General features: G+C 34.0%; 1 protein-coding gene across 12 annotated transcripts in view; it reads left to right on the forward strand.

The window, feature by feature from the left end:
* EPHA6 (EPH receptor A6) overlaps window positions 1-14,506 on the forward strand; it is a 946,939-nt gene that overhangs the window by 426,247 nt on the left and 506,186 nt on the right. For 11 of the 12 annotated variants that reach the window (XR_001740110.2, XR_924126.3, XM_017006211.2 and 8 more), the window contains one exon: window positions 3,112-3,447. Coding sequence is in view for 10 of the 12 variants with exons in the window: in XM_017006211.2 (XP_016861700.1) it covers window positions 3,112-3,447 (336 nt within the window). In the remaining 2 variants the exon portion in view is untranslated. Of the gene's footprint in view, window positions 1-3,111; window positions 3,448-14,506 lie in introns of those variants that run through there. The other variant, XM_017006218.1, reaches the window with a different exon arrangement.

The raw sequence follows: 14,506 nt of genomic DNA on the forward strand, positions 1-14,506 counted from the left end.
CCAAAAGAGTCTTATTTGAGCAACAAACTGATTTTTGTGTGATATTTCATGGGACTAGAAGGATTGCATAGGACATATTTTGGGAAACACAGTTATGTTTAAAAACAATTTACATTAAAAACTTAAATGAAATAAAACAAACAAAAATCATAGCACACCTGGCCTCTGCTACTCCGAGAGGAAGATTGGGACCTACCGGGACAGATGTTTTTCTGGTAAGGGAGAGTCTACCTTGCTATAAGTATCTCGTAAGTTTTACTGGTAGAGCACTGTTCCTTTATTCTTTAAAGTTATAAAGTAGAAATTCAAATTGAAGCAAAAGAAAAGTGTTTTCTAGTTAAAAAAAAAAAGCTAGTGGAAAATAAAATTGTAGCATAACTAATAGAAATTAAGTTGTAGTTTTTAGGTAGTTTATTATATGATGGACTTGAAAAACAGCTAGTTTCAAATCAGAATAATTGCCTTTTTCTTATGAAGTTAGTCTGGAGGGTGAAGACTGGAGATTGCTTTCTTTCTGTGTGAATTAGTTGTTTCTTTTAAAGAAACAAAATCAACATAAGGAAATACCTGGGAGTTTTCAATACAGATGTCTCCAAAAGTATTATTGCTGCCATGTTATTTTTTCAATGTGTCACATAATGTTTATATAATTTATAAATGATAACAAAGCAATCAGGCCACATTCATAAAAGCCCAGTGACACATCATTTAGTTGAATCTGAGGATTAGAATTAATTGTCTCTCTTTGTTCCAAGTTCTAAATCTTAGTAAATGATTCACTGTATGTCATTACAGCTTAATATTTGCATGAAATCACAGTTTAGCTGGCATAATTTAACAGCAATTAAAAAGCTATTTAATCATCATGCAAATTGGTATGAGGGCCCTTGAGTAAGAAGGGTGTCAGCCTTCTTGTTTTTTTTTTTTTTTGTTTTTTTTTTTAGTATCTGCAGGCGGACAGTTATATACTTATAGACACCCATAACATAATTGATAATATTCTTCCTAGAATGAAAATATAAGTGAATAATAATTCCTGCTTTCCATTATAAATAAGAGAAAAGACCAACCATATGAATATGTCATTCTGTCGGAAAACATTATTATGATAATGACAATGAATCTTTATCTCCTAGACTAAGTCTAGGTTGGAGGTAAAAAGCTACGTTTATCCCTGTTCTCTAGTGTATCATCCCCTTCATGTTTGCCTTCCTGAAGGTAGACGTTTCTGTAAACCCTATGGAATATGAAATGGCATAAAGCAAGGCACCCAGCAACCTTTTAGAAAAAATGATTCATTGCATTTCTAGGTGATGTACCTATAGGTAGCTGAGGTCCCTTCCTGTTGTACATAGAAAACTATCCATACTCATTCCAATGAGCCTAGCAGTCCTGCACTATCTAGCTTCTTCCTGTTCCTTAAATCTTACTTCATGCATTCTCCCTCTGCAGTCTAGCCACAGTGACTTTCTGCCAGTTCCATGGTTATTTCAAGATCTTTCTGAACAAGAATGGCATACTTTCTATTCCTAATATTTTTCCCACCCCTCTGCATATTCTCCTCACCACCTCTATGAGGCTTTCTCAGAATGTTACCTAAAACAGGGGTCCACCTGATTGCTTTTATTTCAGCACCTGTCTTTCTAATTTTTGTAATTGCAAACATTATGATTTGAATTTTATTCATCCGCTTACATAGATCTAGTCACTCCACCAAAATGTAAATAACAAGAGAGAAGGAATAATGTCTACCATGTCTTATCTCTGTAAGCCCAAGATCTAGTAGAGTATCTGCCACATAGTAGACACTAAATAAAATATTTAATGAATGAATGGCCGTAGCTTGAAATCCAAAAGGAGCCTATATCAAAACTTGAATTTATTTCTAGGAGCGAATGCTAGGGAGACATTGCTTTCCACGCTCTAAGCAGAGTTTCTTGGTAACAGAAATTAGAGAATTGGTTTAGATTTTTTTTTTAAATGAAGCCTTCTAAAATATGGCGTGACTGTTGTTTCAACAGTCATTTATATAGTATATTATTTTTCTAAATATCTCTCATAAGTATAGCCTCTCACAGCATACGGATTCTGTGGTTTTTCACATATAGTACTTAGCATAGTGTCTGGCTCCTAGAAGACATTCAGGTAATATTTGTTTAATGAACATTATAAAACTGAGGCTTAAAGGACTCAGATAAGTATATAGGATTATTCACACAATTTTAAGGAAAGGCTGGAGTAATTAGCGGCTATCAAGCACTCTACACGGTGTGATCTTTGTGGAAAATAAGAAGATGCTCATCCCCTCCTTAGACTGACTTGGTTTTCGAGGTCTTTATGACAAATAGGAGAATAGTGTGGGTCTCTTTTAGGCCCACGCTTAGTTTAAAGGACACACCTACTTGTGTTTAGTAAACTTAATCTAAATGAAAGTCCTGCCATCATTTCTTGTCAGTGGCCCCTTTTTATCCCTTCCATATCATGCTTTTATCACATCAAATTGACAAGGACTTAATAAAAGGTTTTTTGTTGCCTTCAATTTTCATTTCGTTTTTCCTTTTTCCAAATCATCTGCTCACCCTAAATTTATGGTCATTTAATCTCAACCTTTGGGAAACAGATTTTTAGTGATTTTCGGAGGTGATGAATGGGGATTTTATCTACATATGAATTATAGTATGAAGACTGAAAAACTTACAACAATGTGTTTTGTATATGTATGTTACTATTTTTTTTCAAATTTTGAAAATGGTGATATAATTAATAAGATGTAATTAAAGCCATCACATAATTTAAAATAATTTTTGTTATATATTTTCAGTCAAGTTTAAAAGGTGTAATTACCATATGTTTTACAGATATCCTGATTTTTATATTAAATATTGAAATTCATACTCCAAAAATTTATGATATAGATCTTCATTCCTCAAGACTCCTTCCCTACTAGACCTAATGAGCTATTTTAACCATGTGATCATTATAGATCCCATTAGAAAAAGAGTTCAAACTAACATAAAAGAGCAACAAGTGTTTATTGATGAAGTTTTCATTTTAGCGCCATAATTCATTGTCCTATATATGTACATTTGTTTTTTAATTGCTTTTCTCTAGGGCCACCTTCAGCTCCTAGGAATGTGGTTTTTAACATCAATGAAACAGCCCTTATTTTGGAATGGAGCCCACCAAGTGACACAGGAGGGAGAAAAGATCTCACATACAGTGTAATCTGTAAGAAATGTGGCTTAGACACCAGCCAGTGTGAGGACTGTGGTGGAGGACTCCGCTTCATCCCAAGACATACAGGCCTGATCAACAATTCCGTGATAGTACTTGACTTTGTGTCTCACGTGAATTACACCTTTGAAATAGAAGCAATGAATGGAGTTTCTGAGTTGAGTTTTTCTCCCAAGCCATTCACAGCTATTACAGTGACCACGGATCAAGATGGTAAGTTCCACTGCTGTTCTCTCAAAACAGACCCATAATTTCTTTTGATGCATAAATATCCCTCATGGGCATGTATTTATTGCAGGTGCTATGCAGTCATATACGTTATACACTGCAGAGGTAATGCACTGGTTGTTGTTCTTGTTCTTTCCTAAAACTCAGAAAGATATTTTTATATTACTTCTCAGCAGTATGAATAATAAGATGAAATGCTTCCCTCCACTGTTTATGTACTCATGTATTTTGTATAATCATATAACAATATATCTTAATGAGTAAGTCCATATTACTTACCAATAGAAGTCAGAAATCAATAAAATGTTATTAAATGAATTGAATTTCAATTGCCCCACTTATGCTGCCATCCTTTTTGCATGTCAAATAAAGCAAATAGTAAGAATTTTTAAAACTATAATTCATGTCTATATTATGAAAGCATTCCAACTAATATATTTGTGTTCCACTCTAAGTAGCAGAAAAATTTAGAAATGTGTTCAAATGTCATCATCTATGTGAAGTTTGTGAAAAGTAGTTAAACTGTTCAGAAATCTGATGAATTCAGCTAAATGTTCTCTTTATAACATCATAGATTTTTACTATAATATGGTCAGGCGCAAACACTCCTATGATTTTTACAAGTATATACTTTCTTTAATTCCTTCATAACATAATTATATTGCAGACCAGGAAACAAGAAAAGCTTCAGAGATTTTTAAAACTCCTTTCGAGAAGTGTTCATAAATTATATGGGCACACAAGTTATTGCCTTATAGTAGAAAGTATTGTAAATGAACACATATATGAGAAAAATTTATAAAGATAAAACTATTTTTATACACCACATTTGTTTGCTAAGGCAGCCATAACAAATAAGACAGGCTGTGTGGCTTAAGCAACAGACAATTTATTTTCTCATAGCTTTGCAGGCTAGAAGAATCAAGTTGTCAGCATTGTTGATTTCGTTCTGAGGCCTGTGTCCTTGGTTTGTAGGTGGCCATCTTTTCCCTTGGTTTCACAAGGTCTGTCCTCCTTATGTCTAATCTCCTAATCTTCTCTTCTTATAAGGACATTAGTCATATTGAATTAGGACCCACTCATATGATCTCATTTTACCTTAATTACTCTTTAGAGACCCCATTTCTAAATGCAATCTCATTCTGAGGTCCTAGGGGTTGTGACTTCAACATATGAATATGTAGAAAGACAATTCAGCATAATATACACAATGGCAGCATATTTAAAATAAAATACATTGATTTGAATGTGTTGTGATAATACTCAGCAATAAAAATGAACAAAGTGGCACTATGCAGACTGAAAAGCCTATTTCAAAAGGATGCATTCTGTATGATTCCACTCATATAATATTCTTGATATAATATAATTACAGATATGGAAAACAGATTAGTGGTTGCCAGGGCTTAGAGATTTGGAGGAGGGCAGTGTGGCTATGAAGTGGTAGGAGGGAGGACTGTGATGATAGTTGTATATCTTGATTGTGGTGATAGTTACCTGACACTACATACGTGATAAATGGACATGTACATGATAAATGTCATGCACACACACACACACAAGCCCTGTAGATTGGACCAATGTCAATTTCCTAGTGTTCCATGATATTATACATAAATTCACTTTGCTGATAATCTTCAGAAATACCTCTAATAAATAAAGCAAAGCCATATAATATTGTACACTCATAGTCTTTGTATTTACTGTGTAATTTTCCTCTTCATTTAGCATAGTTCCACATCATAGAATTTGCTTTATGGTTATTCAAAATAGAATTCCTATTTTCTCTTTTCTTTTCCTCTTTCCTTTAGTATCAACAAAATCTTGTCAAATATATCTTAAATATAAAGTAGATGAGAGTTTTCTGTTCCTCTCTGCTTCAGCAGATGATTTTGAAGGTTTTTATTGCCTCAACCTTATCAAAAAATACAATCTAGTACAACGATTTTTAGCTACAGGGAAAAAAATTTAATTTCTGTACAAAATCAGTATGTCACTTTAAATAAAATAAATATGTAAATATGCTTACATAATTTCACACATACAGCAGCCTTTCATTCTAGGATTACAAAAGAGTATATTTAGTTCATGTCTCTGCTTATCAAAAGGATAAAATATAAGTTGTTTTTCACTTTTAAAATGGGATAGTTCATTAAAAGTATGTTGTTATATGGAAAAAAGATATATATCAAACATGAACTAAGAGGTGGTATACATATATTGGAACTATATATTCTGGAAGGATAATATCATTAAGCAATTTGTTCCAATAATTTATCTTTTTTGAATATTAAGAAATGATTATTGTTAATTTAATTTGATTTTGTTTTAGATATAAATATTAAAATAATCAAAATATATTTATATTTTATTTGAAAGTACATAAAGGTCCTAAACCAACTAAAATATTGTCATGTATATACTAATAAAATATTATGACCAGCCTTAAATATAAGCATCTACCTCCATGTCATAATTTTGAGAGATACCAAGAAGACCCCCTCTTCTTGTGCTTGAAATTCTAAAGTTAGAGAATCACACCTGTGAAAATGCAGATACTCCAGGTAAGGGTAATGTTATGAACTATTCAATCTGTGGATGTATCAGATATCCTTTCCATTTCCAAAGGAGTCAGAGTGTAGTGTTCAATTTAAAAAGAATTTATACAAACTGAATGTTTCAGAACAAACTTTCAACTGATGCCATTTTGTTCAGTTGTAAATAAATAATTGTATTGCTTAGTAAATAAAATAAAATAATTGTATTGCTTCAAATACAGGAAATAATTTCCCATCACTCCACTTGGAGTATCTTTGGGAATTCTCTTTTAACTGATTTAGGAGACAATTGCAAAAACTATCTGATAACACGTTACGATTTCACTGGACTGAGAGGACAAGAGTAAAGTGGTTTACCTTCTCTGTAGGTTACATATTGTTTTTGTACAAAAATGCAAAATTGATAAGTGTTATTCATAAACTTTCAATTTATTTAACATATTTTTAGTGTATTCCTTGTGTATGATAGTGAGCCTTTATGTACCTTAAAGTCTGGTGGGAGGCAGTTAATAAGCAGGTAATTTCACAAATATGTAGTTAGTACTCTAGTTAAAGTACTGCTAAGGAGAAGCCTAGGGTGCTCTGAAAGCATATATTCTCCAAATCTGGAGGATAAGTTGGGGGGCCATCTTACCAAGGAAGCAACATTTAAATTAAGTTCTGTTCTGAGGGATGAATAGAAAGTGATTAGGTAAAATGAGGCTGATATAAGAGAAATCATTCTGAGTAGAAGGAACCAGGCAAAAGTTGGATAATGGAGGAATTAGAGGCTGATCATATGTAAGATAGCATATCATAGAAGTACAGCAGGATTTGGGGAAGGAGCTGAAGAGTTCATCTAAAATTTGGAAAAATGAATGGGTATCTGCAAATAGCTGAAACAAGTTAAAGAATCAGCCACTTGTCAGAAGATGCTGGAATTTTTCCAGGGCCACAAATAGGGAAAAGAAGTCAGACTAATAAGATTGCTCATGAGGTCATACTTACATGAGTATGGAAAAAATATTAGAGACCAAAAAATATAGACAGTTATATTAATTATTTTTTCCTACTCTATGTATGCACATTGTGGAACATGAAGATCGATATGAAATAAATTGGCATTGGTTTGCTTTTTCTTTCATGTAGTTGACTGTATGTATATATTTTTTCTCATATTTAAGAAATACTAAGAAAACCACATTAAACAAATCTGGCTTAATTGTTTGCTCTGTTTATAATTAAACAAATGTAAAAAAAAAGTTTGAAATCACTTAGAACCACTTAGATGTAGTTAGGAGAAACATTCCTTGATTATTCTGAGTCTAGTTTGATAAATAAGATTATGAAGTTAAAACTATGACTTTCATCATAAGGAATCTTTGCAATAAATCTTAATTAACTGACTTCTACAGTTCCTAAGATCTATATTTGCAACCTTCTGTTTTCATAGTTTATGTAAATGGTCTTGAAAGGTGTTTCATTTAGAGAGCAAAACAAGAAAGCAACATGCAGAAGACATTTGATTTTAGTCTTCAGTGCATGATAGGAAAACGAAGGTGTGTAGTTCAGTAAAAAGTAATTATTCAGGTTTTAGACAGTAAAGGAAAACGTTAATCATGGATAGTCGACCCAAAACAAATTGTGTTTGTAGATATCCTGACATGTGCAAAAACCTTTAGGGACCATGTTCAAAGTGAAAGACATGGTAAATTACAAACCAATTCTGCTGATATTTGCTAAAGGGTCTTTAAAGCAATTCTTGTCAGAAGCAAGTTGTCCAATTCATTGGTATCTTAAAAAATACACTCAGCACTCCTATCTCTGCCCTTAAGTGACCATTCTGTATAGGCCTGCCTTAGGCCCACATTGTGATTGCAGATTTCATGTACCTACTGTAGCAGGAATAACTAATTAAACTGACATTGAAAATATGTTTAAATCAACAAAAGTCTCTATATATTTATAAACTTGAGATGTCTATTTGGTTTACAGTTCACTGGATTTTAGAAATACAGTCTATTTCAAATGCCAACCTTTTACATGTTGCTGGAGTAAGTAATTAGGGATAGTGTAAACATTCATTTGTCTTTATATTTGCATTTTAATGTATTTTATCTCTGAACATCTCTCACAGTCCTCACTGTGTTTTCAAAAATGCTCACAGCAAATATTCTTTTAAAAACCTATGCAATACTATTCAAAGTAAAAAAAAAAAAAGTGTGGAAGTTTTAAATACTTACTAAATATACATGAAATACAAGCCAGAGGCATGATAAGTTTTATTTTGTTTATTAAAACAGGCAATAACCCTGACTTTAACTAAGAAAGATGCTGTATTATTTGTATTTTCCATATTTCTTATACATAGGCAAATTATATATTCAAAAGCTAGATATATTGAAGTATAAAATATTTCTGTCTTCAACAAAAGTGTTGTTCCCCTGAAAAGTGCACTGAATGTTTTATTTATGGAAGAAATGTCAAACTGGCTAATCATTACTAAATCATGATTAGTAATGATTGCATAATGATTATAGTGCAGCCAAATATTAAATTATAATCTAGGTGATTGTAAAATTTGTTTACACTCCTGAAAAACACCAAATTACTTCCAAGTCTAGCATCTTTTTGTGACACACATCTTTTGAGTAATTGAATACTATAGGAAAGGACCTCAGACTTTAGAAATTCGTTTGCAGAGAGTTGGTCAGCAACTCTGCTCCCAGTCAGCAGCTGTAGAAATTGAACAACTGTTCTCAGACAGTTGTGTAAAACACTACGGTGTCACTGTCTCACTGGACAATAATCATATTTTTTAATAATTTGCCTTTCCACCAATATGTAAGCTTCTTGAGGGCATGAATGATGTGTTATTGACTAAGAATATCCTCCATTTACATTGCCTATAACAATAAATCTCTACCCACTGCATTAATAGAGATTGAAGATGGTGTGAGTTAACTTTTCATTTGCTGAATTCATTAAAAAATATTTATTGACTGTTTAGCTTCTGGCAAGAACTGTTCTGTGTTCTAGGAATATAGCAATAAAGAGAAAAACAATTAACACTGTTCCTGCTTTTATAGACATTATACTTTAGTGTTAAAAAGTGATAGGTCCCATGAGGAAGAACTAAACAGAGTAAGTGATTTGAAAATAAATGGTTAGTTTTATGCAAGGAAACCAAAAACACCTCTATAACTTGACACTTGAGCAGATCACGAATTGAAGAGAAAATCTTGTAACTATATAAAAGAAGACTATTACAGGCAATGGATATAAAAAGGTCAAAGCCTTAAATTCAAGCAGGAATACGTCTGGAAAGTAACAAGAAAGTATTAATGGCATATTTATTCTTTAGCATATACTAAATTTCATGTTCACTAAATCCTCTGGTGCTATACCTACATTTTCAACAATGGATTTTAATCAACACTAAACCATCCTTTAATAGCAATTTTTCTCCGTGATCATACATTGCTAAAGAAATGTGTTTAATCCTAAACTTGATTTTGAGCAGTTGGCTTTTAGAGTCGTCAGCTGTGTTCTCTGAGGAATTCTCATTTGCACATTTTGCAGGAAAGGTGACTAAGTATTTTATATAGCATAAAATAATAAGACCTTATTGCTGTTTTGGTGCCTCTATTACTATATCAACAATTTTAATGGCATTTATCTGTACGAATTAAAAAATAGTCATACGATTCTTTAGTAAAATGCTTTAAATCCTGTAAAATTAAACCAGATTAGCAGATGTTTAACTAAATTGAAATTAAGTGTGTGCATGATCACATCCTACATAATCTATAGCTATCATATGATATAAGGCTCTACTTTATGGTTAGGCAAATGTCTAACAAACTGGCACATTTTCAATATAGTTCTTTGTTTGAAAATGGATGCCAATTTGATTTCATTAACTGAACTCTGCCTACAAAATGAATGAGATGATTTGGATAACTGATTCATTATGTATGTTGTTAATATTTAACACTGGGTTTATTTGTGATATTTGATATTTTCTTTTTTTTTTTCTCTTTTTTTAGACAGAGTCTCACTTTGTCCCCAGGGTGGAGTGCAGTGTCATGGTCTTGGCTCACTGCAACCTCTGCCTCCTGGGTTCAGACAATTCTCTGCCTCAGCCTCCCAAGTAGCTGGGATTACAGGTGCCCACCACCATGCCTAGCTAATTTTTTTGTGTTTTTAGTAGAGACAGGGTTTCACCATGTTGGCCAGGCTGATCTTGAACTCCCGACCTCATGTTCCACCCACCTTGGCCTCCCAAAGTACTGGGATTACAGGCATGAGCCACGGCACCTGGCCATTTGTGATATTTTCTAAAAGCCTCTTTGAAGTAAATATCCATAAGGATTAAAATAGCATTAATGTGTAAGAATAAAACAAAAGGCCGGGCGCAGTGGCTCACGCCTGTAATCTCAGCACTTTGGGAGGCCGAGGCAGGCGGATCACGAGGTCAGGAGATCGAGACCGTCCTGGCTAACACAGTGAAACCCCGTCTCTACTAAAAATACAAAAAATTAGCCGGGCGTGGTTGCAGGCACCTGTAGTCCCAGCTACTCGGGAGGCTGAATCAGGAGAATGGCCTGAACCCAGGAGGCGGAGCTTGCAGTGAGCTGAGATCGTCCCTCTGCACTCCAGCCGACGACAGAGGGAGACTCCGTCTCAAAAAAAAAATAAATAAAACAAAATTACTTTCAAAGTGGATGGATTATTCTGATCATCATTAAAAATGTGAATTTCTTCATACTTAAAAATATTTCAATTGCAAAGATTGAAAAACTAATTGCCGACCTTTTAATCAGGCAGAAATTCCACAGACCATCATTAGATGAGTGTTTTTTCTTCCATGTATTCCTCTGCACTTTTCTATTTCGTTTAGATTCTAAAACAGTCAGTCGTCTACATAAATAATTTATGATGTCCAGTGAAAAATAAAAATGCGGGACCCTTTGTTCAAAAAGTAGGAAAAGAGAGCCATAAAAGGTACTAAAATACAGTGCTCTTTCTTTCAGTGATTTTTCTCTCTCAACTTGGCACAATGTTTTTTGTTTGCCATTTAATGTCCCTCTAAGTAAAGAAAAAGTAAAATTTCAAATTATTTGCATTAAAATTTAACATTCATCTTTATATTGTTCAGTGACCATTTTAAATGCAAATACAAGAACATTTAACATAAGTGAAAGCATCAAAATATACAAGTCTTTTTTCTGTAGTTGACCCCACATGCACCTCCTGTTCCCAAGTGTGTCTCAAGTAGGCCAGAACAGAAAAATATCAGCCAGACTCAGGAAGGTTGGGAAGTAAAAGAGAGGGTCCCTTAAAACACGGTGCCTGTCCAGAGAGCACTCCCTCTGTACCAGGGATACTTGAGCAGAAAAATGATGACACTCCCAGGTTCCCAGGGCCCTGCCTCAGGACTCCAGCTGCCTTTGTAACCCACAATGGGAGACCACCAGTGGTCTTCAAATCTCCTCCCTGGTAGGTGAGAGACCTGCTTGCGTTAAGACATGAAATCTGCAAAGCAGAAACAGCTACACACACACACTCACACACATACACACACACACGCGCGCGCACGCACAGGCACACCCACACGATGCTCCAGGGTTAGCATATCCAACCTAGATCCTTTCCATGATGTCCAGATCCCTCACTGGGGAAAATGAACAGGCAACCCAGGAATGTGGTCCTACCTGCACTGAGGTCAATATATTCACCTAACCCAGGCAGACTATGACAGCAGTCACAGGGCAGGGATAGGGATTGGAAGACTGCATGGCTAAGAGTGGGGGAGTGTGCCAGGGAGAACGCATCCTGTGGATATGGTGAAGTAGTGGGAGGCTGAACCTAGATCCTAGAGCCCAGGCAACCATTGTCCCATTTGTATTCACTTTAAAAATATGAGTGCAAAGATAAACATTATTAAGAATTTTGATGGCATTAGCTGAGCATTAAACCCTAAGAGAGTTGGGAGAGCTGTGCATCTGCACAAGCCATACATTCATGAAGCCAGCCCTGAAAACATTTTGTAAAGTGGTAATGTCACTGTTTTTCAAATTTACCTCTCTGTGTTACTCAGCAAACCAATATAATCAATGATTCTGACACACTAAATATTGAGCTATCTGTTATGTAGTGGGAAAAAAAGATGCCTGTGTGTTTGAGACATGATGGTTGCTATGGAGCAGCTAACAGTCTTTTACTCTTTAAGATTTGGAAGTGAAAGTTTGTCTACGTGAAAAAAAACAAAATTAAATATATAATATCTGATTCAATATACATTTTCAAGAACTGACTGCCTGAAATATTACTTAGTACACAAGACCTTAAAATATATATGAAGTAATAAATGATTAAACAGTGATATGACAGGCGGTGAATGTTGACATTTTCCTGATTTTTATGAAAGAAAGCCTAGTTGTTTGACCACACATTTATTCTGTTAGGTAGTAAGCAAAGCTTTTAGTAATGAAAGATTAAAAACAGAAAAACAAATTGAAAGAGAGTTCCATAATTTAATGCATTCTAGTTATTTTGACATTCTAATAGGTCTAAGGGTGGATTTCAGTTATCGATACTTTTATGCTCTGCTATATATTGTTATACTTAGTCACTTTCAACATGTGTTCTAAAATATAAAAGTGTTTTTCCCCTCGAAATAATTATTACAGAAATTGAAATTATTTGTATTCATTCTTTTATATTGCAATTCAGCTTACATATTTCCTAAGTAATCTTTTATTAAAGCAAGTAAATATTATTCCAAGGATGATAGATATATCTATAGTATATAAATAGAAATGTGCTTTATGTTGTTTTTCATTTTGTTTTTTTACAAAAATTATCTTCTGCTGAAACTAAATATCCTAAATAGGTATTAGTTTTTACTTTATAATGCTCATATTAATGGATGCCATACTATTTTGACTTCCTGTTTCAAGGCTTCTATATATAAATAGTGGATGTTTGGCCATTGTCTATCTATGAGTTGTTCAGATTGTATTTTGACCTATTTATTTAGTAGCTATGCCCTGTATCATAATTTGATATTTTTAAGTTTATTATTTTTTATAAACATAAATATATTGATCAGCTCTAGATAGGGATTGCACATTTAGAATCCTAGAAATTTGGAATAGGTTTCTCATTCTATTTTTATGAGAATAAATGTTTAATGTATTGAGCAGTTTTGAATATTTAAAATATTATCTGCTGGTTTTTTTTAGCTGTTTTACAAAATGTGAGATACTTGTATTAAGAGGTAAACAATTAAATGCTATTTGAAATGCAACTCAAATATATATATATATATGTTTTTCCTTTTTGTTTATTTGTTTGTTTTTGAGGCAGAGTCTTGCCCTGTCGCCCAGGCTGGAGTGCAGTGGCGCGATCTCGGCTCACTGCAACTTCTGCCTCCTGGGTTCAAGCGATTCTCTTGCCTTAGCCTCCCAAGTAGCTGGGACTATAGGCGCATGCCACCACGCCAGGGTAATTTTTTGTATTTTTAATAGAGACGGGGTTTCACCATGTTAGCCATGATGGTCTCAATCTCCTGACCTCTTGTTCCGCCTGCCTTGGCCTCCCAAAGTGCTGGGATTACAGGCGTGAGCCATTGTGCCCGGCCTTAATTATATTTAAATTTAAACTATAACTGATGTGCAAAATTATTTCCTAAAATAAATTATTTTCCACTTTCTGAATTGTATTAACCAAATTCCTACCAGCTCATATTAGTTTTACACTTATAAGGTGATGGTTTTCACATGCTTGAAGTAATCTAAAGAGAATGTAGAGTTCAGCTACTAGTCATGAGGCAAGACGCACATATGCCCTTCTCAAATAAATATTATTTTTATCCTATTTCAAAGATTTCTAAGAAATATTTTTAATCCCCTTGTATCTTTTAACTGACTCTTTTAAGATGGTCTTCCTGAAATATCTCACCTAAAACCTTCCTGCAACCAGCAGAAATGTTTGTTAGCTTATTTAAGAGGAAAACAGAAAAAATAAATTGCACTTCAGGAGATAGAAGGTCACCATCCCCTGCATCGTCACTCTTTGTAGACAGGAACACCATCAGTAGAACATTCTAGTTAGAGCATTACTACTTATTTCCAATTTGCAAGTTTATCATCGCCAACCACCTTCTTTCACTGTTCTCCAATTCTTTATTTTTAGTAGAATGAAGAAGTGTTCTTCATGAATGTTCACAAATCTTTAAGGGGTCACAAAGGAGTGACAGTATATCAGACTAAGAATTTTTCCAGAGGTACATCTTGGATGTGTGTGTGTGTGTGTGTGTGTGTGTGTGTGTGTGTTCAAAATAACCTGAAAGCCTCTCAGTTATTCTCTCAAATGAGTGCTATGAAAACGTTAGGTTCCAGAGGAGAAGACTCATCTCCAAAATAAGAATGAGATTCACAAAATTAAGGAGACTTCTTCAAAATCGTAGTGCTTTCACCATGGTCATTCTGGCAACAGTA

Source organism: Homo sapiens, chromosome 3 (genome assembly GCF_000001405.40).
Source record: "Homo sapiens chromosome 3, GRCh38.p14 Primary Assembly".
NCBI classification, from domain to species: domain Eukaryota; kingdom Metazoa; phylum Chordata; class Mammalia; order Primates; family Hominidae; genus Homo; species Homo sapiens.